The sequence below is a fragment of the Homo sapiens genome, chromosome 8 (genome assembly GCF_000001405.40).
Source record: "Homo sapiens chromosome 8, GRCh38.p14 Primary Assembly".
Classification (NCBI taxonomy): Eukaryota; Metazoa; Chordata; class Mammalia; order Primates; family Hominidae; genus Homo; species Homo sapiens.
In genome coordinates, this window is record NC_000008.11 from 66,660,032 (window position 1) to 66,687,925 (window position 27,894).

At 41.6% G+C, this 27,894-nt stretch overlaps 2 protein-coding genes and 1 long non-coding RNA gene across 5 annotated transcripts in view, besides 3 other annotated features; 2 read left to right on the plus strand and 1 right to left on the minus strand.

Moving 5' to 3' along the window:
- The window catches only part of VCPIP1 (valosin containing protein interacting protein 1), a 38,745-nt gene extending 31,545 nt beyond the window's left edge, over positions 1 to 7,200 (minus strand). The window contains exon 1 of the mRNA NM_025054.5: positions 4,218 to 7,200. Coding sequence (NP_079330.2) covers positions 4,218 to 6,927 — 2,710 coding nt within the window. The 5' untranslated portion in view covers positions 6,928 to 7,200. The remainder of the gene's footprint in view (positions 1 to 4,217) is intronic.
- Positions 6,088 to 6,147: an enhancer, noted in NCBI's record as "active region_27489". NCBI's record gives its function as "activates an Ori minimal core promoter by ATAC-STARR-seq in GM12878 lymphoblastoid cells {active_cell/tissue: GM12878}" and the evidence as "EXISTENCE:reporter gene assay evidence [ECO:0000049][PMID:35858748]".
- Positions 6,398 to 6,917: an enhancer, noted in NCBI's record as "active region_27490". NCBI's record gives its function as "activates an Ori minimal core promoter by ATAC-STARR-seq in GM12878 lymphoblastoid cells {active_cell/tissue: GM12878}" and the evidence as "EXISTENCE:reporter gene assay evidence [ECO:0000049][PMID:35858748]".
- Positions 7,288 to 7,797: an enhancer, noted in NCBI's record as "active region_27491". NCBI's record gives its function as "activates an Ori minimal core promoter by ATAC-STARR-seq in GM12878 lymphoblastoid cells {active_cell/tissue: GM12878}" and the evidence as "EXISTENCE:reporter gene assay evidence [ECO:0000049][PMID:35858748]".
- Positions 7,565 to 21,500, plus strand: C8orf44 (chromosome 8 putative open reading frame 44). Of its 3 annotated transcripts, NR_161218.1 has the most exons (4): positions 7,565 to 7,670; positions 16,714 to 16,871; positions 17,611 to 17,923; positions 18,188 to 18,264. It is a non-coding gene; the product is annotated as a chromosome 8 putative open reading frame 44 (long non-coding RNA). The 3 variants fall into 3 exon arrangements; NR_161216.1 differs by lacking the exons at positions 16,714 to 16,871; positions 18,188 to 18,264 and adding an exon at positions 19,690 to 21,500; NR_161217.1 differs by lacking the exons at positions 16,714 to 16,871; positions 17,611 to 17,923; positions 18,188 to 18,264 and adding an exon at positions 19,690 to 21,500.
- C8orf44-SGK3 (C8orf44-SGK3 readthrough) overlaps positions 7,565 to 27,894 on the plus strand; it is a 194,427-nt gene continuing 174,097 nt past the window's right edge. The window contains exons 1-2 of the mRNA NM_001204173.2: positions 7,565 to 7,670; positions 19,690 to 19,993. The gene's annotated coding sequence lies outside the window, so the exon portion shown is untranslated. The remainder of the gene's footprint in view (positions 7,671 to 19,689; positions 19,994 to 27,894) is intronic.

The following is a 27,894-nucleotide window of genomic DNA, read 5'->3' on the forward strand; positions in this document are numbered from 1 at the left end:
TATTTAGAAAATAAAGCTGGAGATCTGCTGATGAAAGCTAAAAAGTATGGAACTCCTTCAGCTGAAAGCCTGCAGGTAAGTTAATGGAGGGCAAGCACTGACTTTCATTTATCTTTGTACACTCAACATACATACAAGTTCATAGTATACACTGATTTTGCTGAAATAATTGCATTCATTAATCCAACAAGCATTTACTTGGTACCTACTATGTGCCAGGCCCTGAACTAGGAAATAAGGTATTGATTAGTGAAGAAAATAGGGTTCAGTCTCTGTCTTGATGGACTTTATAATATAGTGGGGGAGGCAAACAAATAATTAAACCAACAAATAAGATTATTAAAAATTGTGATAGATGCCGTGAGGGACATCAACAGGGTACACTGATAGAGGGAACCTACTTAGAATGGTCAGCAAAGTTTTCTCAAACCCTTACAGGGTGGTGGTATTTAAGCCTAAACTTAAACGAGAAAGAACCAGCTATTTGAACAGCATAAAGTCTGATGAGCTATATTCTAAACTAACATAACACAGCTTAGCTCACATTTGGTAATTCACAAAGTAATTTCTGCACTTTGAAATCTGTAATCTTCTAAACAAGCTCTGTCATTTTCTAGTCCTCTCCAATCTAAACATCAACAGTTCCCCAGTACTCTTTACATATGGTTAGTATTTATCCCCAAACTGAATTTTGTAGGAACATCTTTTTTTTTAAATTAAGAATATCTTCGGCCAGGCGCAGTGGCTCATGCCTGTAATCCCAGCACTTTGGGAGGCCGAGGAGGGCGGATCCCCTGAGGTCGGGAGTTCAAGACCAGCCTGACCAACATGGAGAAACTCTCTCTCTATTAAAATACAAAAATTAGCTGGGTGTGGTGGCACGTGCTTGTAATCCCAGCTACTTGGGAGGCTGAGGCACGACAATTGCTTGAACCCAGGAGGCAGAGGTTGCAGTGAGCCGAGATCGCACCACTGCACTCCAGCCTGGCGACACTGCGAGACTCTGTCTCAAAAAAAAAATCTTCTACATAATTCAAATACAGTCATAAGCGAACTAGAGGAAGAAAACTAAGATTTATAAGGGACTAATATAATACAGGCTATGCACTTAATACTTCAATTTAAAGCAGAAAGTATCTCAAGTGATATCATTACAAAAGTAACACAATGCTCTCTTTTACACCCAAATTTTGTGTTGGTAGTGGAAGAAGTTTTAAAGAAATTTGTGGGTTTATACAGGCATAAATGCTGGATATGAAGAGGGAAGGGATCAGAATAGAAAGACATTATCTTGGTGAACTCATTGCAGTCCATACTCTAGGTTCTCTCAGATATTCAGGTCCAAGAACCTCCAACCAAACTCAGAAAGTATTTATACACCAGAATTATATTTGATTAATTTTCATTATGAAATATATTATCAACCAGGCACAGTGACTCACGCCTGTAATCCCAGCACTTTGGGAGGCCGAGGCGGGCGGTTCATGAGATCAGAAGATTGAGACCATCCCAGCTAACACGGTGAAACCCTGTCTCTACTAAAAATACAAAAAAATTAGCCAGGTGTGGTGGCACATGCCTGTAATCCCAGCTACTCAGGAGGCTGAGGCAGGAGAATCATTTGAACCCAGGTAGCAGAGGTTGCAATGAGCTGAGATCGCGCCACTGCATTCCAGCCTGGGCGACAGAGTGAGACTCTGTCTCAAAAATCTATATATAATCATACCGATCAGATTTTTTTTTTTTTTTTGAGATACAGTCTTGTTCTGTCGCCCAGGATGGAGTGCAGTGGCACGATCTCGGCTCACTGCAACCTCTGCCTCCCCGGTTCACAAGATTCTCCTGCCTCAGCCTCCTGACAAGCTGGGACTACAGGCTCCTGCCACCACACCCGGCTTATTTTTTTTTTGTATTTTTAGTAGAAACAGGGTTTCACCATCTTAGCCAGGATGGTCTCGAACTCCTGACCTCGTGATCTGCCCGCCTCAGCCTCCCAAAGTGCTGGGATTACAGGCATGAGCCACCGTGACTGGCTCTGATCATATTTTTAAGACTACTGATCATAATCCTGCCCATGTCCGTTTATTAGTCTACAATGGAGAATACAGCTTTCAAAGTGAACACGTCCTTATCTGCACTGTCACCTGTACATCAAAACTTGTTATCAGGAAGCTAAATAAGTGTTACGAATAGATGCCTGATGAACATGGAAATCAGGCAAAGGGATAGAGATGTTTCAGCCAGGCCACAGTCAGGATTGTTCAAATATTCCTACCCCTCGACAGAGATTACCTTTCTAGTTACCAGAATTTTCATGAACCCCAGATGATGTACCTTTTTCCTTTGTACAGCAGTATATGAACATTGCCGAATTCTGCTTTTCACTTTTTTCAATGTTCAGTGCTGACTGACCATCCATTCCATTTCTGCAGATACAGCCTTTCTTTAGCTGTGTTAATGTCATCTATTTAATTCAATTAAAAAACATTTCAGAGTGCATACTACCTGCTGAGCACTATTATCAGGTTCTGTGCATACAAGGATAAAGGTAAGAGCCACATTCTCAAGAGTCCATCTTCTATTGAGGAAGATCTTCTCTTTCCTGTTTTTGACCTGGGAGATTGAAGGTCTTTTATTTATTTACTTATTCATTTATTTATTTATTTTTTGAGACAGAGTCTCGCTCTGTCGCCAGGCTGGAGTGCCGTGGCGCGATCTAGGCTCACCGCAACCTCCAACTCCGGGGTTGAAGCGATTCTCCTGCCTCAGCCTCCAGAGTATCTGGGATTACAGTCACAGGCCACCTAGGATTTGTATTTAAGTACACTAGCATTCGTATTTAAGTGACCTTGATCACAAGGTCAGGAGATCAGGACCATCCTGGTCAACAAGTTGAAACCCCGTCTCTACTAAAAATACAAAAATTAGCTGGGCATGGAGGCGTGGGCCTGTAGTCCCAGCTACTTGGGAGGCTGAGGCAGGAGAATTGCTTGAACCCGGGAGGTGGAGTTTGCAGTGAGCCGAGATGGCGCCACTGCACTCCAGCCTGGAGACAGAGCAAGACTCCATCTCAAAAAAAAAAGAAAAAAAAAAAAGAAATATATAAAGTGCGTAGGACAGTTCCTGACATACTCCCCAATTCAATTACTATGTCTGGCAAACTAAAATCAACAATTCCGGGTTCTAAATTTGTGCAGGGTTTTTAGATCCCCTATTTACTACTCCCCCAGATAAGCCAGGAGTAGTATTCATTTTGATAGATTAAGGCCCAAATCACTGCCATATAGTACTATCAGAAAACAGAATCAAAACCCAGATGACTTTTCTCGTTGAAAGCTTTAATCTCAGCAAAAATAAAACCCTTCCAGTAACTAACACATTTAAATTTTACTTCATACTTTAAGACTTAGTAAAGCATACTAAGTTATTTCAAAACAAAGACTAAGCAAATATAGACACTGTAAAAAGTACACCATTGAACAGTATCCCAAATCATCTAAAGCTTTAAATTACACATTTGGTTAATATATTTTTCTTTAATTTATGCTGATTAAAAACAAATACTTCTTTACACCATTACCATCCATCTCTGTTTATGTTTCTCATGAACTACAACTTATAACAGTTCATTATAATTGATGGCAAAGACTTGAGTAGTGAAATTACTTAAATACAAATCCTAGTGTACTTACATACAAATCCTAGTGTATGAGAAAGAAAAATGTGATGAACTGGGAAAGGAAGAAAATGAAATGTAAGAGACTACTAGGTGGGAGTGCAGTGAGAATATAAACACCAGAAACTGCAATTCATCAAACAGGAAGTGCTGAAATCACATGACATACAGGAAAATAAAAATTAAAAATAAATGAAAAAGGGGCAAGGTAGGCAGGATCAATAGAGCCTACCAAAAAATTTAAAACGCTTTAAATAAATACAAGTCTGTTTTTTAAAAAGCAATTGCAAGAATAAGATATATTTAAATAATCTGTTGACTATTATTGAGGGACTACCTTAACTTTCTATTTTCCTAATAGTTACTCAATAATCCTATTAACATCTATCAACTGTTCAAAATACTAAAAATAATTCTCTCCTGAAATATATAATTAAAAACTTACAATGGCTACAGATTTCTTTTCCCCCAAAGATAACAGGAAAACTCAGTGTATTATATTTACAATTAAGATATACCATCAGAATTAAATTCATCTTACCCATTAATGTTGCTAAAAGACACAAGGAGTACATTTCTTTTTCAGCTTGCTCCTGAAGTTCCTTAGATGACAGTTTACCAGTAACAGCAATATCTTCTTGTTTCACAGTGTGGGCTGAGTGTGCTGCAGCAGACTGACCACCTTCAGCTTTACTTTTTAGAATTTCTATTGTAATTCTGTCGCCATGCTGTAAAGGAACTGGTTCCTTTTCCATTCCTGCCTGTGGTGGCATTAACTCTTTAGGAGGAAACCCGTATCGAATACACTGTAAATATGGAGGAATGTTGAATTCTCTGGCTATACTTTCCTGAAGTTCAAAAAAGGTTGTTGAAGACTTAAGGGTAACCATGGACTGTCGTCCATCATTAGTTGTGATTCGGATCTTCTTCTCCTTAGAAGTTGTCGGTGAATAGGGAGCCTTGGTAGGTGTAGCAGGTGCAGAGGATGGACCATCACGAATGGTACTGGGAGAAACAGTCCTGGGTTGCCCTTTTTGTTCTTGTTTTAACTTCTCTGTTTTCCGTTTCTGCATTACAGAAGCCTGTTCCGTAATATTCTGTTGAATAGTTCTTTCAGTTTTACTCATGTTTAACTCCTCCTTGTGCAAAGTTTTTGTTTTCTGTCCAGTAAGAATAATTTTAGTTGGGAGCTGAGACTCTGATTCTTGTCCTTGAACATCTCCAACTCTTTGGGCGTGAGCACCATCTATATTTACAGGAGTATAATCATCGGGATTCTTTTTGGCAGTCTGATGCAATATAGTGTGGACAACTTTCTGAACTAGGATTTCACTCCCAAATTCACCTGGAAAGTGCTTGGTAACAAGTTTCATTGCAACATCGTAAACATTACTATTCAAAGATGAATCACTTTCATACTGGAACCAATATACTGTTTCTCTGACCACTCTTCCACCCCATTCTAAAGTAATAGGGAAAGCTTCTGGTAGATTGTCATACTCCTTACCATCCCAAAAGTGTTTGAATCCACAACCACATTTGCCACCAGTGGACCTAGAATTAGTTCTGTCTCCATCCAAATACACAATAGACCCATCTCCTCTGACCTTTCGCACAGATGTGCCATGGCACCAATTACAAGCTGTTAGGTTACTCATTCCATAGTCTGGTACCAGAACATCTTTCACTGAATCATATGAGCAAACCAAATTGTTCAAGGGAAAGCTGTAATTTTTGTCAGTCCTCAGCTGTCCATGAGTACTTTTTGCCAGGTTATACAATTTCCCTCCAGGAGCCAACCACTCTGGAGGAACATGAAGTTCAGAAAGGGCACCACAGAGCAAACATTTGTGAAGGCGATTATCCATTACTGCTTTTTTAGCAGCTGCTGTGACTTCCTCAGGCTGAACTCCTATCACTCCAGTCCTTCTGTAGAAATACTGATGGACATCAGCAACCAAACTAGGATGGATACCATGTTTGTCCATAAAGACTTCTTCCATAGCAGCAACAAGCCTAAGTAAGTATTTATCTTGCAAACTTCTGTCACCTCCAATAACACAACCACCATCCTCTTCAAGTTTTATGTACTTTTTAATAAGGTCCTGAGGCACACCCCATGCTTTAGGAAGCAAATTCATAGGCAGTTTGGGCAAAGCAGCCCCTTTTATGCCTACCAAGGGGATATAATGGTTTCTACCGGAGCTGCTCCATGCAATACAGATTGGTTTGTTCAAATGACCATCTTTCCCAGTGCACTTCTCTGCAGGGATGAGCCCAGGTAGAAAGGTGGCTGAATAATCACCAGAGCTTCTCATGCCACTGAGGGAATCTAACAGAATAATAGGACGATGTAGCACATTGGCAAGACCAAATATGTGGATATTCCTCAGGCCCAAGGGAACACCCTCAGGTGGTACAAACAGAGGGTCACACTCATTGATAATGTCCTCCCACTCAGCAGCATCAATGAAGTCATGGAACAGAGCTTGATATCGGGCCAGGTGCTGCTGAAAGTGCTGTTTAAGATTCTCTCTTAAGGCATGCCAGAAGAGCTCTCGGCCTACTAGAGCCCGAGACACAGCATGCACCAAGCAGTGTCCATCCCCGTCCACATGCACTGGAATGAGACATTCCTGGCTTTTATTGGCCCGCTTAATGTCCTCCAGAGTGTCATGCAAATACAGGAGGCTTCCGGAGCGGTCCTTGCCATAGCCCACAGTGTTAACATGCTCTGGTTCTATGAGGAAGGCGCGGTCACCCAGTAAGGCGCAATCGAACAGTTCGCCCTGGTTCATGTCCCGGAGAAGCTTGGCCCGGCCTGTCTGTTTGTCCATTCCATAGCGAGCTAATATGGGCGACAACAATTTGCAGTGATAGTTGGAAAGGCCCATCACCTTTACCAGTTCCGTGTTCTTCTTGGGTGCCCCCGTAACCCCGAGCAGCGCGTTCCGCAGCAGGTTGTGTAGCACTACGTCCGGGTCGGTCACCTCCTCAACCCCCAGCAGCTGTTGCTGCTCGTGCCGCTGGCCGCACTCGGTACACTCGATGCTGACAGAACCGGAGGCCGGGAAAAATAGACGCGCCTGACACTTCGGATCCGGGCAGCTCCCGGAAAGGATTCTCCGGTCTCTCCGCTTCAAAAGCCCCCCCGAAGCAGCCGCCGACGCCAAGGACGACGGAGTCTGTGGAGCCTCAGGGGGAGGAGGTGGCGGCGGCAACGGAGGCGGCGGCGGCGGCGGCTGAGACATAGCTCCTGGCTCTCGTGTCTCGCTCCGCGTCCCAGGCGACCCTCAAAAGCTCATAGCCCAGACCCCCACCAACCCGACTCGGTCCAGTCCAGGCCCAGGGCGAAGCACTTTCCTTTCCCTACCAGCTCTTCCTCCTCCTAAGCGAAGGCGGAAGCGCCGGACGTTGTTTCTCTTCTTACTTCTCCACTGCCGTAGCCGTTGCCCCGAACGTAACGGCCACCACCCCACCCCGCACTCACACTCACTCACTCTCGCTCTCTCTCCCTCAGACACAGACATACACGCCCTCATTGAGTGTGCGCAGGCGCAGCTTCCGCTCTGCCCTCTGGGAATTAGAGTCTTCCAGCCTCTGTGCTGGCCATCAAGCCCTAGGATCTTGAGTCCAGAAGGAACTACAAGTACCGTGAGGCCAAGCGGTTCAGCGCTAGAGGAGAGGAGGAAGAGGACGGCAACAGGAAAAGGGGCGAAAGAAAGATGGTGACTCGCGTTGCCTGCCGGTAGTTGTAGTTTTACTGGGCTCTCCTTCGTCGTCTTCCCCACTCTGCAGCCCAAGGCAAAGAGTCTGAGAGACCACATTTCCTAGGATGCCGTGCGGTGCGTCTAGCTGCACTTCCTCCTTAGGCGGAGGGGAGGATTCAGGGAAGCTTGGTTAAAAACAGTTATGGCAGTGGGAGTCGAAGCGAGGGTCTGAAGTTCACGACTACTAGAAGGGGAGGGGAGTGGAAAGGCTCTCAGTGAAAAAGGTACAGTAAATAAATGTCCAGGGATATTGGGGGCTGGGAAGTTGAATAAATGGTCTAATCTAGGCTGGAGGCCATAAGGGGGAAAACAGTTGATTCTCGGAAGCTCTGCCTTCTCCCCCTCTCTAGTGCGAATCACTGAGGCGCCATTTGATTTCTCGTTTCCTGCATGTTTTGGCAGTTTACAGTGCAAATAACGGTACCTTGGATGTCTGTAGAGTTTTGTGTGCATATACAAATTCTCTTAACTAGGTTTAATTTCATTTGCTCTTTACCACCCTACTCCCCAGAGAATAATAAGAGCCATCATGTGTTAAGTTCTTAATATGTGTCTGGACAGCATTTGCATAACACGATATCATTTGATCTTAAAAAATAACCTTCTTAGGAAACAGGCCCAGAAAGGAAATGACTTGCTAAAGTTCACGCAGCTGATAAGTGAGTGGATAGACATTCAGATCTCAACCTGTCTTCTTTTTACAGATCAGGACATAGGCAGGAAAGGTTAGGCCTGTATTACATAGAATAGTAACTAGCATTTGCTTACTATTGCCTTATAGTTTACATATTTAATAATATGTTCACATGTATCATCTCATCCTCACACCAGTCCTGTAATACCTTTACCAGGTGGTGTTGACTTCATTTACAATCAGGGAAACTGAGACTAAAAGGAATTAAGTGACTTGCCCAAGGTCAAGTCACCAGTTATGCTGGATCCCAATCTCAAACCTTGAGAGTGATTTTTACGCTGCTGCTTACCAAAAAATCCCGGCCGGGCGCGGTGGCTCACGCCTGTAGTCCCAGCACTTTGGGACGCTGAGGCGGATGCATCACGAAGTCAGGAGATCGAGACCATCCTGGCTAACATGGTGAAACCCCGTCTCTACTAAAAATACAAAAAAATTAGCCGGGCGTAGTGGCGGGCGCCTGTAGTCCCAGCTACTTGGGAGGCCGAGGCAGGAGAATGGCGTGAACCCGGGAGGCGGAGCTTGCAGTGAGCCGAGATCACGCCACTGCACTCCAGCCTGGGCGACAGAGCAAGACTCCGTCTCAAAAAAAAAAAAAAAACCCAAAATGTTAGGCTCAAATCTTTTGCTAGGCCTTAGAGTCTCCTCTTAGTGATGAAGGGATGTTTAATGTTAAGGAGGCAACAGCTTTATTCTTTTTTCACTTGGGTAGGAAACTGCCTCTTCATACAGAACAATATTCATATGTTAATTGAAAGCTAGTATTATTTTTGTACATTCATCCTCTTTCACTTATTACGGAAATTCTTGCTTTCTGGAAGTTTAGTATCACCTTAGGTAAGTGGACTACCTCAAAATTTCTGAAACATTTGGCACCAACTAGAAACATTAGTGAAGTCCATGAGATCATTTGAGTCTTCTGTAGCTGCCCAGGAAACCGCCTGATTAGGTTGTGTGTGTGTGTGTGTGTGTGTGTGTGTGTGTGTGTGTATGTATGTATGTAGAACTTGATGCTTTGAAATGAACCATCTGCAAAATAGAGGCCCATAAAGGGTATTAGTTTTGATGTGCACCTAATTGCTACAATTTTCTTGAAAATAAATATTTGAAAGAGAAATCCTCCATAATGGACCTTAATTACAAGAGAAGTGATTTTTCCTATCTTGGGATATTTTTCTTTCTTTTTTTTTTTTTTTTTTTGAGACAGAGTTTCACTCTTGTTGCCCAGGCTGGAGTGCAATGGCGTCATCTTGGCTCACCCCAACCTCCGCCTCCCAGGTTCAAACCATTCTCTTGCCTCAGCCTGCCGAGTAGCTGGGATTACAGGCATGAGCCACCACGCCCAGCTAATTTTGTATTTTTAGTAGAGACGGGGTTTCTCCATGTTGGTCAGGCAGGTCTTGAACTCCTGACCTCAGGTGATCCGCCCGCCTCGGCCTCCCAAAGTGCTGGGATTACAGGCGCAAGCTACCGTGCCCGGCCGGAGGGGGTATTTTTCAATAAAGTTTTTCTCAGAGAATTCATGCAAGAAAAGTTGTTTATTCTAACAAGTTTGGTGGTAACTACACAGATTGGTTTTGGCACTGATTTTTTATTAACAGTTGAATGCTTTATAAGTAGAGAAATTGGGTATCTCCTTTAAGTGGAGATTATTTTATGCTGTGACGAAAATGTTACACCTGCAGTGAAAGTTTTTCTCATACAGAATCCAAATAATTGAATTAAAGCTTTGTAGCACATGAGATGACAACAGTCTGCAATTCTAACACTGTCAGGTACTTTTATATCTTAACAACACCAGGCCAAATTTTTCTTATTGATGATACATATACATAGTGAAGTAGATTTTTAAAATTGTATTTGAATATGTCATTCTGAACCATACTATGACAAAATAATCACTTCCCACCCCACTGAAGAAATGAGAAGCCTTTTTCTGGCTTGTCTAGATCATTTAATAAGTTTGTAGATGCACTCAAAGTTCAGAAAGAAAGCTAACATAAAGGGGCAATGAAATTAACCATGTCAAGTTTAATATGTGAATTAATTCTTTATTACTAGCACTTAGAAGGCATGGATACCTACAAAGAAAAAAAATTGTTAGGTCAAAAATAGGACATACTGTTTCTTATAAGACCGGAGGAGTGTAGAAAGCCTCTCCTGCTTATGCAAGATCTGCAGGCTTCCTTCCTCTTTTCCTCCCAAATTCCATGATCTTGCCTAATGAAGATTAACTTAACTACCTAATTAACTTTCACAGGATTTTTGTGGGGTAGATAATAGTTCTTGTTTTTAGTAGTCCAGATGAAAAGAATAAGCTGGGCCTCTGACATTAGCTGTGCTGATACACGTCTCTTCTACCACCATCACCCCAGCATCACTAATACCTAAATTGCCAAAATTCAGTTAAAATAGAAATTCATCTTTTTCATAGTTTCTAGTATGGCACTTGTAAACTCCCTATATTGCTTTTAACAAACTTGGTAAATGTAAATGCAGAAGTCATCCACTTTTACCAACAGAACAACCATCATTGTTCTTGATCTTTTATATTTTATATATATAAGGAAGGGAATCATAACTTTGGGGATTGCTGTAAGTTGGCCACATACCTGCCTATATAAACTATACATCTTTACCAAGAATTGACTGTGTTCTTCCAGACCCGTGCCACGTATAGTCAGACTTCCAGTCACAAGCTTCGACTGAAGCTCAAAGTGGATTTGGGAGGGACTAATTATTGAAGTAGGTATTATAAGAATTTAAAGGGATGCAAAATTTCATCTCTGTCTCAAAGAAGCTTAGAGTTTAATAGAAGAGGGAGGCTAAACTAAATTGTTCATAAATATAAGTAGAATAAAGCATGTAATCAAAATAATACAGGAAATATCACAAATGCTATGAAAATTTAATTGAGGGCAATTTATTATAGGGCAGTGTTTTGAGTATATCATCTTAATCTTTAAAACACTCCTGTGATACAGTATTGTCCTTATACGGATAAGATTTAACTCTAAAAGGTTAACATCGTTTTTATTACCACCAGCTATGAAATAGAGCTGGGCTTCAAATCAAGGTTTTCCTTGTTCAGCACTCACTCTTTCCACTACATCACAGCTGCTTACTGATTTGAGAGAGAATTAGGCAAGAAGTCAATACAAACTGGTGACCAGTAGCCAAACTTGGCTTGATGTAGTTTTGTTGGGTCAGCAGGAGTTTAACTTTATTTTTTTTGAGATGGAGTCTCGCTCTGTCTCCCAGGCTGGAGTGCAGTGGCGCGATCTCGGCTCACTGCAAGCTCCGCCTCCCGTGTTCGCGCCATTCTCCTGCCTCCGCCTCCCGAGTAGCTGGGACTACAGGTGCCTGCCACCACGCCCGGCTAATTTTTTTGTGTGTATTTTTAGTAGAGATGGGGTTTCACCGTGTTAGCCAGGATGGTCTTGATCTCCTGACCTCGTGATCTGCCTGCCTCGGCCTCCCTAAGTGCTGGGATTACAGGCTTGAGCCACCGTCCCCGGCCTTTTTTTTTTTCTAATGTGAATGTGTTTGAGCAGTGGCCAGTATTCCACTCTTTAAGACCTTACACCAGGGCCCCTTGAGACAAATGACCGAGTACAGAGCTGCAAGTCATTCCTTCGCACAGTAGTCCTCAAGCTTTAATGTGCATCACAGTCTGGAAGGCTTGCTAAAACACAGATTGCTGGGCTCCATCTTAGAATGAGTGTGTCTGAGGTGGAGCCTGAGAATTACATTTCTAGCAAGTTCTCTGGTTGCAGATGCTGCCAGTCCTTGCGAGGATCACACTTTGAGAATCACTGCTTACCAAACTTGTAGGGCACTTTTGGGGAAGGCTTGTTGTGTTTCTGTTGTTTATAATACAAAAGGAATTGCTTGTCAGAATGTGCAGAAATAGGTTAAAAAGAAAATTAAAATTATCTATCAGAGATTATAATTGCTAACATTTTTAATGGACCATTCAAGCTCCTTTTTTCTATGTGTGTATAGTATGTACTTTTTTAAGAAACCAAAATTATATAATAATAATAATAGCTATTAACACCTTTTTAGCATCTATTGTGCACCAGGGTCTTTACATGTAGTATTTACTTAATCCTTTTAATATCCTTATGAAGCAGGTACCATTACTATCATTCTTATTTTTCAGATGAAGAACTTGAGGCACAGAAAGGTTAAGTAACTTGTTCAGTGTCTCATTGCTAGTAGGTAGCATAATCAGGATTAAAACCAAAGCAAGGCCAGGCTAACACCTGTAATCTCAGCTCTTTGGGAGGCCAGGACAGGTAGATCACTTGAGGCCAGGAGTTCGAGACCAGCCTGGCCAACATGGTGAAACCCTGTCTCTGTTAAAAATACAAAAATCAGCCGGGCATGGTGCCTGCCTGTAGTCCCAGCTGCTTGGGAAGCTGAGACAGAAAAATTGCTTGAATGTGGTAGATGGAGGTTGCAGTGAGCCAAGATCACGCCACTGCCCTCCAGTCTGGGTGACAGAGTGAGACTCTGCCTCAAAACAAAAAACAAAAAGGAAAACAAAAAACCAAAGCAATCTAGTGCCAGAACCACTCTGCTATACTGACTCTTCTACTGTGCATATTGTTTTTCACCTGTATTGTATAATCACATCATGAACAATCTTGATATTAGACATTTCTTGTTTAACATTTAATTTTTTAATTTTATGTAATTTTTTGTTTAAGAGACAAGGTCTTGTTATGTTGCCTAGGCTGGAGTTGAACTCTTGGGCTCAAGCTATCCTCCTACCTCAGCCTCCTGAGTAGCTGGGACCTCCAGCACGTACCACCACACTCGGCCTCTTGTTTAACATTTTAAGTGAAAGCCTGCTTTTTTCTCTTAAAATATTTGAAACGTTTAAAGATATACGCAAAAATAATGTAAAAAAAAACTCATGCACCCACTACTAGATTTAACAAAAGTTAATTTTTCTGCATATTTGCTTCATAATCCCCCCCTCTTTAAAAAACACATTATAGGCCGTGCGTGGTGGCTCACGGCTGTAATCCCATTACTTTAGAAGGCCGAGGCAGGTGGATCACAAGGTCAGGAGATCGAGACCATCCTGACTAACACAGTGAAACTCCGTCTCGACTAAAAATACAAAAAATTTGCCGGGTGTGGTGGCGGGCAAAAAAATTAGCCGGGCGTGGTGGCGGGCGCCTGGAGTCCCAGCTACTCGGGAGGCTGAGGCAGGAGAATATCGTGAACCCGGGAGGCAGAGCTTGCATTGAGCCGAGATTGTGCCACTGCACTCCAGCCTGGGCGACAGAGCAAGACTCCATCTCAAAAAAACACATGTTGGCCAGGCTGGTCTTGAACTCCTGTCCTCAGGTGATCCATCCTCCTCGGGCTCCCAAAGTGCTGGGATTACAGGTGTGAGCCACTGCACCTGGCCCAGTGAGGTGGATTTTTAAAAGTAAAAGAAAAAAATTGAGTTCCAGAGCTAGAAGTTCCATCCTCAGTCTGTCTGAAGCATGCCTCCTGCAATCCTTTTTCTTTTTTAAGGACCAACAAAGTCATCACTACAACATAAAGGACCCTGTGTAATCAGGCACCTGGCTTCTCTGACATTATTTCCGTGGCTTGTGTGCTTCAGCCACACTGGCCTCCTTGTGGGTCCTCAAACATTCCAAGTACATTCCTGTCTCAGGACCTTGGCACTTGCTCTTCTGCCTGGAAAACTCCCAGGTAGAATTTATATAGTTGTCAGCTCAAATCTCAGTTCCAGTGAGATGGCTTTTCTAACCAGTGTCTCTAAAACAACACCTCTATCCTTTTTCTCTCTTCCCCTATCCCACTCATTTTCTTTTCTTTTCTTTTTTTTTGGCTCTGTCACCCAGGCTGGAGTGCAGTGGCATGATTTTGGCTCACTGCAACCTCCCCCTCCTGGGTTCAAGCAACTTGCCTGTCTCAGCTTCCCAAGTAGCTAGGACTACAGGCGCCTGCCACCACACCCGGCTAATTTTTGTATTTTTAGTAGGACGGGATTTCACCATATTGGTCAGGCTGGTCTCGAACTTCTGACCTCAGGTGATCCACCCTCCTTGGCCTCCCAAAGTGCTGGGATTATAGGCGTGAGCCACTGCGCCTGGCCCCCACTCATTTTCTTTATACCACTAATCATCAGGAATTATATGATTACTTGTCTGTTGTCATCCTTCCCCACTAGACTCTTTAGTAAGGCTTTTCATAAGGGCAGGCAGTTTGTTGATTGTTGGATTCCCTGTGCCAGGCATATATAGCCTGAATAGATATTGTTGAATGAATTAATGGCTATCATCTATGGCAGTGTGTTTCAGCCTGATATTCAAGCATAAGTTCCTGGAGAATCCACCATTTGGTTGCAGTTTAAAAATGTTTATGTTGTCATTTTGATGCTAATCTAAAGCAAAGTCATATTGTGATTTTTCCAGATGAGTACCTTAAAACATGAAGTTTTGAGAGCCTGAATTCACACCAAGTTTAGGATTTTGTTTTTATCAGTTGAAAGCCAATGAACATTGTGACAAAACGTGTAAGGTTTCACGATCATTTTGAGAAAAGAGGTGGGAGAGTTGAGTCATCACATGTCACACAGTAGCCCATGGCAAACTCAGTGCTGTAACTGTTGGTGCCACGTTCCTACTAAAAATAGAAATTGCACATAACACACATGCACTTACATATATTTGCAACAACTTAGTCACTGTAAGTAAAGTAGTAAATACACAATGAGGAATTTTTTTTTATTTCCCAGGAAGGCTTAAATTAGATACCATATAATTCAGATTTAAAATAGTCGAAAAAATACTAACCTTATCTTAAAGTGAGTAGACTCTAATCGAGTGATATTCAAATAAAACTGGCTTTCCAGGGTTTTGTAGTGCCAGAATTTTTGTTAAAATTTGAGATCTGATTATTTCAAACTAGCAACAGAAGACCAGGAAGTTAATAATGCAGTGTATTTGTGCAAACAGCTGTTTTTGCATTGACATTATTAAATGTACAGAGGGCCTGGGAGCAGTGACTCATGCCTGTAATCTCAGCACTTTGGGAAGCTTAGACTGGAGGATTACCTAAGGCCAGGAGTTCAAGAACAACTTGGTCAACCCCATCTCTACAAGTAATAAATTTAAAATTTTTAAAAGTTAGCCAGCTGTACTGGTGTGTGCCTGTAGTCCTAGCTACTCAGGAGGTTGAGACAGGAGGACTGATGGAGCCCAGGAGTTTGAGGCTGCAGTGAGCTATGATAGTACCACTGCACTCCAGCCTGGGTGACAGGGAGAGATGCTGTCTCTAAAATAAAAATAAACATACAGAGACACATTTAACGTAGAAATAGATCAGAAGTTGAATCTTAATGCTCATAAAGCTAACACTTTACAATTCAAGTTACTATTGATTTTATTTTATTTAATTTATTTATTTATTTATTTATTTGAGACAGAGTCTCACTCTGTTGCCTAGGCTGGAATGGAGTGGTGCAATCTTGGCTCCCTGCAATCTCCGCCTCCCAGGTTCAAGCGATTCTCCTGCCTCAGCCTCCTGAGTAGCTAGGATTACAGGCATGTGCCACCATACCCAGCTAATTTTCGTATTTTATTTTATTTTATTTTTGTAGAAACGGGGTTTCGCCATGTTGGCCAGGCTGGTCTTGAACTCCTGACCTCAGGTGATCCGCCTGCCTCAGTCTCCCAAAGTGCTGGGATTACAGGTGTGAGCCACCGCGCCCAGCCGAGTTACTATTAATTTTAAATGGCAAAACCAAACAACCAATATTGTTGGAGCAGAAGAATGCTTATCACTGCAATTCTATTACCTTTGCCTGTTACCTGTCTTTATTTTCCCTTTATTTAGAACCTGAAGGGTGCTTTTAGGGTGGAAGAATATAAAGTTTAAGAATTTGCTTAAGTGAAACACTTGTTATATCTTCATTCTAGTAACATTCTAGTTTTTGTAGAAGGGCCTGATCCCTCTCTCTGACCCATTTAACTCTGTCTCCTAAACACAGTCTAATTCAGTTCCTTTTGTATGACATAAAAATCAGAATAAGAAGTACCTGACATACTTTCTACATCTGTAGTTGCGGAAGACATTTTAATAGGTAAGAGCAAAAGCACAAGCCTGCATACTTCTTTTTTAACCCTGTGGATCATTTAAATAAATCCTTTCGTATTATTCCAAGATATAAGTGCATTGTGATGATGTATAAGAATTTAAATATAAGGCAGTCTGCAAGCAGGGTTTTTTATGTAGATGGGCAGCAGTTTATTGTAGGAAATTATGTGTATGTACTTAAATTAAAGCATCAGCACTAGGTGTCCGCAGATTACATCAAAGAGGGCCTCAAATTGAGTATCAGTAAAATCGCAAGAAATGGACTACATCCTTTACAAGGACACCTCTGGTACAACATTTTCCTGTTCAAACATTAATTTCCACATAGCCTGGCATTTGGCAGGTTATGTGCCATGAATTCTGTGGATATTAGTAGGCATCATGTTGAAGGAAGGGTTCTGTAGTCAAATGCGGACTAAATTAGTTTTATTCTTTTTCCACTTTAGGTCTTCTCATAGCCTTTCTTTGCTAAGGACATTGTGACTCTCCAGAGAGCAACAGTGATGGCTCTAGAATGTCTAGGAAAAAGAAGGGCTTAATGTCAGGAGTCTGCTTGGGGCACACAACACTAGAAGATGTCCTTCTGCACATTGTTTCATATCGAGTGTGTATTTTGTGGTGATCTGGGATGCTGATAGAAATAATTGGATGTTAGTGCCCTAAGCCACCTCTGCACTATTTTTTTTATTTATTTATTTTTTGAGACAGAGTCTCGCTCTGTCACCCAGGCTGCATTGCAGTGGTGCAATCTTGGCCCACAGCAACCTCTGCCTCCCAGGTTCAAGCGATTCTCCTACCTCAGCCTCCCAAGTAGCTGGAATTACAGGCACCTGCTACAACACCCGGCTAATTTTTGTAGTTTTTGTAGAGACGAGTTTCACCATGTTGACCAGGCTGGTCTCAAACTCTTGACGTCAAATGATCCACCTGCCTCAGCCTCCCTAAGTGCTGGGATTACAGGCGTGAGCCACCGCGCTTGGCCCTCTCTGCGCAATTATTGATATGTAGCATTTTCACACTTCTATGGCCATGAAACCATTTTGAACCTGTATCAGAGGCGCACACTTTAGGAAAAACCAATACAGACAATAGTGCCTCTTGTTACAGTTTTTGCTTTTATCAGTGTGTTGGAAAAGGTCCTCTTTATCCCCAAGATCAGTTAATGCTTCCTTATGTTGTCATTTCTGTGGGCTTTTTTCCATTTAATGTTTTAATCCAGTTGAAATGTATTTTTGTATATGATGTAAAAGACATTCAACTCATTTTGTGTATGTATTTATTGATTGAAAAATGCCAGTTATTTCCAAACCTTGCGTTAAATGTGTTTTTGTTTTTCTTTTCAGGTATGGAACCCTTCAGATCAAAGCTTACCAATAAATTCAGTATGTAGAACAGATTAACGTAGTTGAAATGAGGAAGAATGAGAGTTATCTCAACCAGCCAGCACCCCCTATCCCCATTCCCACACTTTCCCTCATGGGAGGCTGTCGGGAGCACTTCGAAAACCACTGGAAAGGCCGGGCACGGTGGCTCATGCCTGTAATCCCAGCACTTTGGGAGGCCAAGGCAGGCAGATCACCTGAGGTCAGGAGTTCGAAACCAGCCTGGCCAACATGGCGAAACCCCATCTTTACTAAAAATACGAAAATTAGCCAGGTGCGGTGGTGCATACCTGTAATCTCAGCTACTTGGGAGGCTGGGGCAAGAGAATCACTTGAACCTGGGAGGCAGAGGTTGCAGTGAGCTGAGATCGTGCCGTTGCACTCCAGCCTGGGTAACAGAGCGAGACTTCGTCTCAAAAATAAAAAAAAAACCCATTGGAAAAATTCATCCTCTCATAAATGACTTGAAATGCCACCTCCGTAATACACTACGTTAAAAATTTTACATACTCAAATTGTTTTTCTCTTTTTGTGCCAGGTCATACTTTAAGGAGCCCAAGAGCTTTATAACATAACAAAAGAAACTGAAATGTCTAATAAATGTGTACATAACAATATGAGTTGTTTGTGTTTTTTTGGCCTATAAAATTAGCATAGATCTTTAAAATAATATACAGTATTGGTAAGAGCTGAATAAATACCTTTAATATAGAGAAGGTTTAACTTAGTAAAACTATGTTTGGTAGATAATGTGTGTCAAAAGTTTACAATGCTCATATCCTTTGATCCAGCATCTCACTTATAGGGTTTCACCCTAAAGAAATAAACAGAAATGTGTGAAAAAAATTTGCTGTTGTTTATATTATTGACAAAATTGAAGATATCAATAACAGTATGAGACTGGGTAAGTGAATCATGGCACATCCCCATGAGATGGGATACTCTTCAGCCATAGAAGTGATATTGTAGAAAGAAAAATATTGAGTGCTTGTGATGAACCTGGCACCATACCAAGCACCTCATTTATACTGTCTGAAGCCTAACAATACCCCATACGATAGGTATTATTATTCCCATTTATAGGTGAGAACACCCTCAGAATTCTAAGTTAGGTAAAGTTCAGCTAGTAAGGTAGTGTTGGTAGTGTAAGGTAGTGTTGCTGGAATTCAACACATGTCTACTCTTAACCCTTATTCTTAGCCACTGTCATGATACAGGAAAATACTATTTACTGATAAGTTTCTAGTAATTTAACTGACATTAAACACATGAAAACTATATGCAATTCCTTCCTTTCCAAAGTTCCTAGGTTTGGTAATTTTTTATCCTAAAATGAATTTATATGTTTTTTATTGCTTATGGAAGTATTAGATGCCTACTCTTAAGAATTCAAACTGTACAGAAGATTATAAAGTAGCTGCATCTTTAGTCATAAATTATACCCTCTGTATATGATACGATAGATTCATAGGCTCTTTCTGTTCCCTCAATTCTGTTCTTGCTGTGGTATCAGCTTGTGGGCCCTGGTTGGGGATAGAGATGAACTAGAAAGGCAAACTGAGTGGGGTGCAGGTGTGAGTGGTTGACTTTCACCACAGGTGATTAGAAACACTGATTCTGGAGCCAATCTGGCTAGATGGAGTCCCAGCTCTTACTTACCAGCTGTTTGGACTTGGACAACTAATAGGAGTGCTTACTGTGTGTGATATGCATACATGGTTTCCCCATTTGTCTTTATGAGTTAGATGTTTTTATTCCCTTTTTATACAGATGACAAAACTAAAATTCAGGGAGGTTACGTATGGAAGTAGAATGAATCATTAGACCCATTTCTAGGACTACAGACAAGATAAATACTGAAAGCTGCTTGTCCAGGAGATAGCAAAATGCTGACAAATGAGAAACAGACCTGCATAGCCATCACACCCTCTAGAACCAAGGGGTAGTGTTTTAAGATAGAGGACTGGGTGAGTATCAGAAAGCTGTGCTTTGAAAACCTGACTGCTTTTAAGTATTTCCTGTTTTGTTCTCATTTTGTAGGTATTAGAATTATTTCTGAATTATCAGTCTCTCATTTGTGCTTTGGAGAAGCAGAAAAGGCAAAAGGGGTCTTTGGCCATCTTCTGCTGGAGCTTCCAGGGAGGATGTGTCTCCAAGAGACCAGATGTACCGAGTTTGAAATCCCAGAAGCCCAAGAGGAAAAGAATCACAGGGAGGAAAAGACTGTCCAAAGGCTTCTGGAGTCTTCTGTTCTCTAACCTTGGAAGGTTTTGAACAATATTTCTCAGAGGATAGCCTTTCACTTATTCATCTGTCCAGCATGACTCATCCCCGGGAGTGTTGAGTAAGTGAAATTTTGCTGTATTCATGTTTTTGTGACTTATAAAATAGGATGATAAGGAGAGAACATGAACTCTGGAGTCAGACCTGTTACCTCGGACATGATACTCTTAGCTTTGTCATTTAGTATTTGAGTAATTTTGGGCAAGCTAACATCTCTGGTCGTTCTCATCTGTAAAATGAGAATAAATGAAACCCACTAACCAGAATTGGTATGAAAATGAAATGTGGCAGAAAAAAAATGAAAGTGAATAGTATCACCACTGACACACAAGCACTAAAGGCCCTTCCTGTCTCCATCAGGTATGGATTTGGGGCAACATTTGGCCAGGTCTTGTTTATCTTTCTGTTCATCTATTCTGTCTAATTCAGTGCTTTGTTTACAACGAATGTCTTACAAATGCTGACTGAACACTAGCATACCTGCATGAACAACAGGTAAATAAATTTTAGATGTGTTTTAATGTTTATTAATCTATCCTGTCAGAGAAGAACTGCCAGTTATAGATAAATATGATGCCAGGTCAGGGCTGAAGAGTTGGGCAGGTTGTTATCTGCATGGGGTCACTAGGTTCCAGTGGAGAGGTGGGGGCTAAGCTCTCACCCGCTCTGCAGCCACCTGGCACCCGGTTTCAGTTTCCTGAAAGGGAGCCTTCTACTTGCTGACGACTGCCTCATCTCTTCTGAGGTTTCCTCTGATAAACAATTTTCTCTGCTTTTTTTTTTTAATTATGAAATACTTAAAATGTAAAGGAGATAATGTGACACACATTTACCCATAATTGAGATTGCCATAATTGCTATAACTTTTTCAAAATTTTGACTTAATTTCAGACTTTTAGAAAAATTGGCCAGGTGTGATGGCTCATGCCTGTAATCCCAGCACTTTGGGAGGCCAAGGTGGGTAAATTACTTGAACCCAGCAGTTCGAGACTTGCCTGGGCAACATAGTGAGACCTTGTCTCTACTGAAAACAAACTAAAAAAAAAATTAGCCAACCATGGTGGTGCATGCCTGTAGTCCTAGCTACTCGGGAAGCTGAGGCAAGAGGATAGCCTGAGCCCAGGGGAGTTGGGGCTGAAGCCTGGGTGACAGAGGAAGACCTTGCCTTCAAAAAAACAAAAAAAAAGAAAAGAAATTCTTTATATTACAAAGAATTCCCATATACCTTCCACAGTTTCCCAAATGTTAATATTTTCCCACATTTGCTTTATCCTTGTCTCTTGATATTACATATGCTGGTTATATTTTTCTGAACCATTTAGGAGAAATTTGCATACATGATGACTGTTTCCTCCTAAATACTCCAGTTCTTATTTTCTAAAAATAAGGACATTCTCTTACACAACCACAGAACAATTATCAAAAGCTTGGAAACTAACATTGATACAATACTTTAATCTACATACCTCATTCAGATTTCACCAGTTGTCCTAATAATGTAATAAAATTATTTCTGGATTATGTCTATCTCATTTATAGTAAAAGAAAATCCTGGATCATGCATTGCACTCTGTTGTGTATCTTTAGTCTCCTTCATTCTGAACACTTCCTCAGTCTGGCTTTATCTTTCCTAACATTGACGTTTTATAAAAATACAGGCCAGTTTTTTTTTCCTTTTTGAGATGGAGTCTCAGTCTGTTAACCAGGCTGGAGTGCAGTGGTGCGATCTTGGCTCCCTGCAACCACCGCCTCCCCAGTTCAAGCAATTCTCCTGCCTCAGCCTCCCAAGTAGCTGGGACTACAGGTGCCTGACACCACACCTGGCTAATTTTTTGTATTTTAGTAGAGACAGGGTTTCACTGTGTTGCCCAGGGGTGGTCTTGACCTCCTGAGCTCACACAATCAGCCCACCTGGGCCTCCCTAAGTGCTGGGATTACAGGCGTGAGCCACCGCACCTGGCCCAGGCCAGTTACTTTTGCAGAATATCCTTCAATTTGGATTTTTCTTCTCTTTTCTTCCCTTCCTCCCTCTCCTCTCCTCTCCTCTCCTCTCCTCTCCTCTCCTCTCCCTTCCCCTCCCCTCCCCTCCCCTCCCCTCCCCTCCCCTCCTCTCCCCTCCCCTCCTCTCTCTCCCTCCTTCCTTCCTTCTAAAGCATTTTAGGTAGAGCTAAAACTTCACCTCTTCACCCATCTCCTGCTCTCCCTGTCTGTTTTTTCCTTTGTCAAGGAACCTGCTTTCTAATGTGTTTTTGTCCTTTTACTACATATGATAAGATCTATAGATACTGATTTTTGGTATCTATTGAGACTTGCTTTTTGACCCATTACATGACCACTTTTATAAATGTTCTGTATAAGAAAGAATGTGCACTCTTCAGTTCTTTAAATGAGTTAATAAGTGTAAAGCACTTACAACCAGTGCCTGTTTCATCATGAGCACCATGCAGTGTCAAATTTTTAAAATAATAATATGAACGTACAGTTTTATATAAATCCAATAGCTCAAATTTGTTAACTGTCTTGTTCATGTTTTGTATGTTTGAGCTCTCAATCTTTAGATAAGTTCATTAAAACCTCCTTGTGATTGTGATATATACATTTTTGCATGTCTCCTACCAACTTTGTCTCCCTGGCGTGGGAGTGAGAGAGGTCCAGGCCAGTCGTCTGGATCCTGTCCCCTGATCCTTCCTGTAAGTGAGGGCTGTGCTTCACTGCACAACAGAGAATTAAGACAGAAGTCTTGGCACTGACTGAGCAGAAAGGGCATCACAGGGACATAGAGATTAATGAATTCAAACAGACTGAGAATCACAGTGGCGTTGCCATCTCCCCTTTTGTAAGCTTTTGCACTGCAGTCCAATCATCACTTGCTGCCCTCTGATATTTCTTCTCTCAAAATGCCTCTTCTGTTCTCTCAACACTAATTCCTCAGAAGTTTAGTCCAATTTTTTGGATAGTAGCCACCAAATTCCCTGTTTTTAACATTTCAAAACTACATTTCAATATTCACCTGATACTTATGGGACCAGAAGCTTGAAGAGAAATGTTTTTTAACTGATTAGATAAATATTGAATATTGAATATTGAACATCTGGCTCTCGGAAGGTCATGGACCAGGGCAGACCTTGGCCACTAAGCTCTGAAAGAAGCCACGAGGCTGGAGCACATGCAACCAGGTGGTGTCCGAAAGACAGGGGCTAGCTCCCAGAGGGCCACAGGAGAGTTTTGGATTGTGTTCTAGGGATGGGAATCCATTGAAAGGTTTTAGGAAAAGAGTGAGGCCAGGTGCAGTGGCTCACACCTGTAATCCCAGCACTTTGGGAGGCTGAGGTGGGTGGATCACTTGAGGTCGGGAGTTCAAAACCGGCTTGACCAACATGGTGAAACCCTGTCTCTACTAAAAAATACAAAACTAGCCAAGCATGGTAGTGCATGCCTGTAATCCCAGCTACTTGGGAGGCTGAGGCAGGAGGATCACCTGAACCCAGGAGGCAGAGGTTGCAGTGAGCCAAGATCGTGCCATTGCACTCCAGCCTGGGCAATAAGAGTGAAACTCCATCTCAAAAAAAAAAAAAAAAAAAAAAAAGAGAAAAGAAAAGAGTGAGATGACTGGATTTATGGTCTTAAATGCAGCTGTAGCTAGTAGGTAGAGAATGACTAGAGAGGGTCAAGAGTGGAAGCAGGAGCCGGGTGCGGTGGCTCACGCCTGTAATCCCAGAATTTTGGGAGGTTGAGGTGGGTGGATCACTTGAGGTCAGGAGTTCAAGACCAGCCTGGCCAACATGGTGAAACCCCATCTCTACTAAAAATGCAAAAATTAACTTGTGTGGTGACACTCACCTGTAGTCCCAGCTACTCAGGAAGCTGAGGCAGGAGAATCACTTGAACCTGGGAGGCAGAGGTTGCAGTGAGCTGAGATCACACCACTGCACTCTAGCCTGGGCGACAAAGTGAGACTCCGTCTCAAAAAAAAAAAAAAAAAAGAATTGTTTACACAGTTCATGGTGACCACCATAGCCACCTCATAAGTCTGGAAGGTCTAGTGTTACAACCATAACTCCCTCCCCTTATTTGAATGTTTTGAGTATTTTGTTAAAAACTTTTCATTTTGAAAAAGTCAAACTTACATAAGAGAATAGCACAATAAACATCCATGAATTTGATTCAATAATTCTTGTTTGCCAATATTCACATCACCTGGCTTTTTTTTCTTTGCTGTAATATTTTAAAGCAAATCCTAAATAATATGTAATTTTGTTCCTTCATTAATCAAGGATCCATCTCTAAGATGAACATTTTCTTACATACTACAAAGCCATGTTCATGAAACTAATAATTTATTGGTGATATCTAATATGAATTCCATAACCAGATATCCCTGATTATGTCAAAAATATCTTTTTACAGTTGGTTCGTTTGAATCAGGATCTGACTAAGGTCCACACAATGCATTTGGTTGTTAGATCTTTTAGTTCTCTTTTAATCCAGGACACTGCTTTTTTCCCCTCCTTTTTACTTTCACTCTCTTTAGAAAATGTATCTCATTGACTCATAGAAACTGAATTAATTGTCCTTTAAAAGTCTCAATACTATTATAAATAACAAAAATTATTAAATTAAAAAAAAGGACTAACCCTGGTGTTTGAGGCTTAACTTTAAACTTCAGCAAGTCAGATTATCACTTTGGTATTGGAATGTTCTTTGAAGTATCTGGCATACAGTCCAGTCCAGTGAACCATAAAAACTTCCTACTTGGCACACATATTGCACGTTGTTTAATAAGAATGCTTATTGCACATTAATAAGAAGGCTTGTGCTTAGTGTTTTTTGTTTGTTTGTTTGGAGATATAGCTTTGCTCTTGTCACCCAGGCTAGAGTGCAATGGTGCGATCACAGCTCACTGCAACCTCTGCCTCCTGGGTTCAAGCAATTCTCCTGCCCCAGCCTCCCAAGTAGCTGGGATTACAGGCACACACCACCATGTCCAGCTAATTTTTGTATTTTTAGTAGAGACGGGGTTTCACCATGTTGGCCAGCCTGGTCTCGAACTCCTTATCTCAGGCAATCCACCCATCTAGGCCTCCCAAAGTGCTGGGATTACAGGCATGAGCCACCACACCCGGCCATGCTTAGTGTTTTAATTTATCATCCAGTCTTCTCAGGTGCTTGACCTGCTTACTGTGATTTGTCAACTGTTACTAAGTTAACAGAATCTAAAAATAGCAAACAGTTTCTCAGACATTTTTAAAAACCATTAAGATGATGCTTCAGTTTGCTAACCTCAGTCTTCACTTCAGAAATTAGAAAACTAAAAATAGCTGAAATGAAGGTAGCATCAGTAAAAACCAAGTTTGTTTGCACTTTGAGGATATATAGAAGGAGCCATGACCAAATAACACATGTATTCTTCCACCCAGTGTCTGTCTTCACCAAGAAGGACGACTTTGATTGGCTGTAATTGGCCACTGTTGCTAATGGAGTAGAGAGAGTCTTGCTACATGCGGGAACTAGAATTACATCACTGCGTTTTTTGGCTTTGTTTCTTCAATGGGTTGTAGTGTATGAATATTATTACAAAATAAAATGATTTAAAAATATCCATCTAATGTTAATCGTTTTGAATTATTTACTGATTTGATGATTCAAAGCCAGTGTATGTTTACAGAAAATGGAGATTTTGTCTCCCATTGAATTTGTGCTCATACATTCTGGGCTTAATACTGATTCTACCACTTGCCAGCTCTATGACACTAGAGAAATCATTTAACTTTTCTGAGCCATAGTATCCAATGTGTAATAATCACATCACAGTAAATGGAGTATCTATCACCTAAAGCATTTATCATTTCTTTGTGTTTGAGACAGTAGATTAAAAATTTAGCTTGGGTAATTCTGGGTGTGTTTATTGGATCAGGCCTTAAACTAGGAGGCATTTTACAGAGACACATTAGTTACTTTGAGATGAAAGAGGGTTTAGGAGCCAGGATCCTTGAATTGTCAAACAGCCAGTTACTGTGGCTTCAGCCACTCCTCCTTGATCCCTATAACAGATAAGTGTTTAGAGGACCAGGCTGGACAGACACTGGCCATCAATACATCCAGAACCTTGACGTAGTGTCTGGGATGAATTGAGTGGATGACCTCCCCACATCTTCACTGATAATTAGTCACTCCCATAATTAGTGTTCCCATAGCTCTTTGGATTCATCATATCCTGCCTTGTATTATATTTGCTTGTATACAAATATATACCTTCCACTAAAATATACGTATGTTGAGTAGGGATCACATTGTTTATCTTTCTAACTTCCTGTGCTTAGCATAGAACTTTTAATGTAGTAAGAACTAGGTAAGTGTTTCATTTAATTGAATTGGCACTCAGAGCCAGAAAACATCATAGCCAGTTATCCTGGTGCTGTTTATTAAATAAGCCAGTCTTTCCCCACTGATCTAAAGTGCTACTTTGAACATGTATGAAATCTTAAATGTATGAACTTGAGTTATTTTGTGGATTCTGTTTCACCCCACGGCTCCACTTGTCTTTTCCTTGTCAGTACCATTCTGCCCTGCTTACAACGTAGTCTCATAGTTCTTTTTAATATCTCATAAGCCAAGTCTTATTTTGCCACAGTTGTTTTTCAAACTTTCTTGGCTATTTTCTTTCTTTCTATCTTTCTTTCTTTCTTTTTTTTTTTTGAGATGGAGCCTCACTCTGTCGCCCAGGCTGGAGTGCAGTGGCGTGATCTCGGCTCACTGCAAGCTCCACCTCCCGAGTTCACACCATTCTCCTGCCTCAGCCTCCTGAGTGGCTGGGACTACAGGGGCCCACCACCACACCTGGCTAATTTTTTGTATTTTTAGTAGAGATGGGGTTTCACCGTGTTAGCCAGGATGGTCTCGATCTCCTGACCTCGTGATCCGCCTGCCTCGGCCTCCCAAAGTGCTGGTATTACAGCGTGAGCCACTGTGCCTGGCCGGCTATTTTCAAACATTTGTCTTCCAAATAAACTAGAGAATCAACTTTAAAAAATTGCCATTTGGATTTTAATAAAAATGGCATATAATTTATAGGTTGATGTGAAGATACTTCCCTTTTTATTTTTATTTATTTATTTTTTTGAGACGGAGTTTCGCTCTTGTTGCCCAGGCTGGAGTGCAATGGCGTGATCTCTGGCTCACTGCAACCTCTGCCTCCTGGGTTCAAGCAATTCTCCTGCCTTAGCCTCCCAAGCAGCTGGGATTACAGGCATGTGCCACCACACCTAGCTAATTTTTGTATTTTTAGTAGAGACGTGGTTTCTCCATGTTGGTCAGTGTGGTCTCGAACTCCCAACCTCAGGTGATCCACCTGCCTTGGCCTCCCAAAGTGTTGGGATTACAGGTGTGAGCCACAGCACCCGGCTGATACTTCCCTTTTTAAATGGGTTTTAACATTTCTTATTAATTTTGTTTCAGGGTATTTTATAGTTGTGATTATTATAAATGGGATTTTAAACATATTTTTAAACTTTCTCATGTATACAGATAAGGAAACTGAGGCACAGAGAGGGGAGGTAACTTACACTGGCTCTCACAACTGGTAAGAGGCAGTCAAATGTGTCATGTTCCAAGGCCAATGCCTCTTCCTGTGTCTTCCCTGATACCAATTATTTTCTTTTTTTTTCTTTTTTTTTTTTTGTTTTTGAGACGGAGTTTCGCTCATTGCCTAGGCTGGAGTGCAATGGCGCGATCTCGGCTCACTGCAACCTCCGCCTCCCGGGTTCAAGCGATTCTCCTGCCTCAGCCTCCGGGGGTTACAGGCATGTGCCACCACCCCAGCTAATTTTGTATTTTTAGTAGTGATAGAGTTCCTCCATGTTGGTCAGGCTGGGCTTGAACTCCTAACCTCAGGTGATCCGCCCACCTCGGCCTCCCAAAGTGCTGGGATTACAGGCATGAGCCACTGCTCCTGGCCTATTTTCA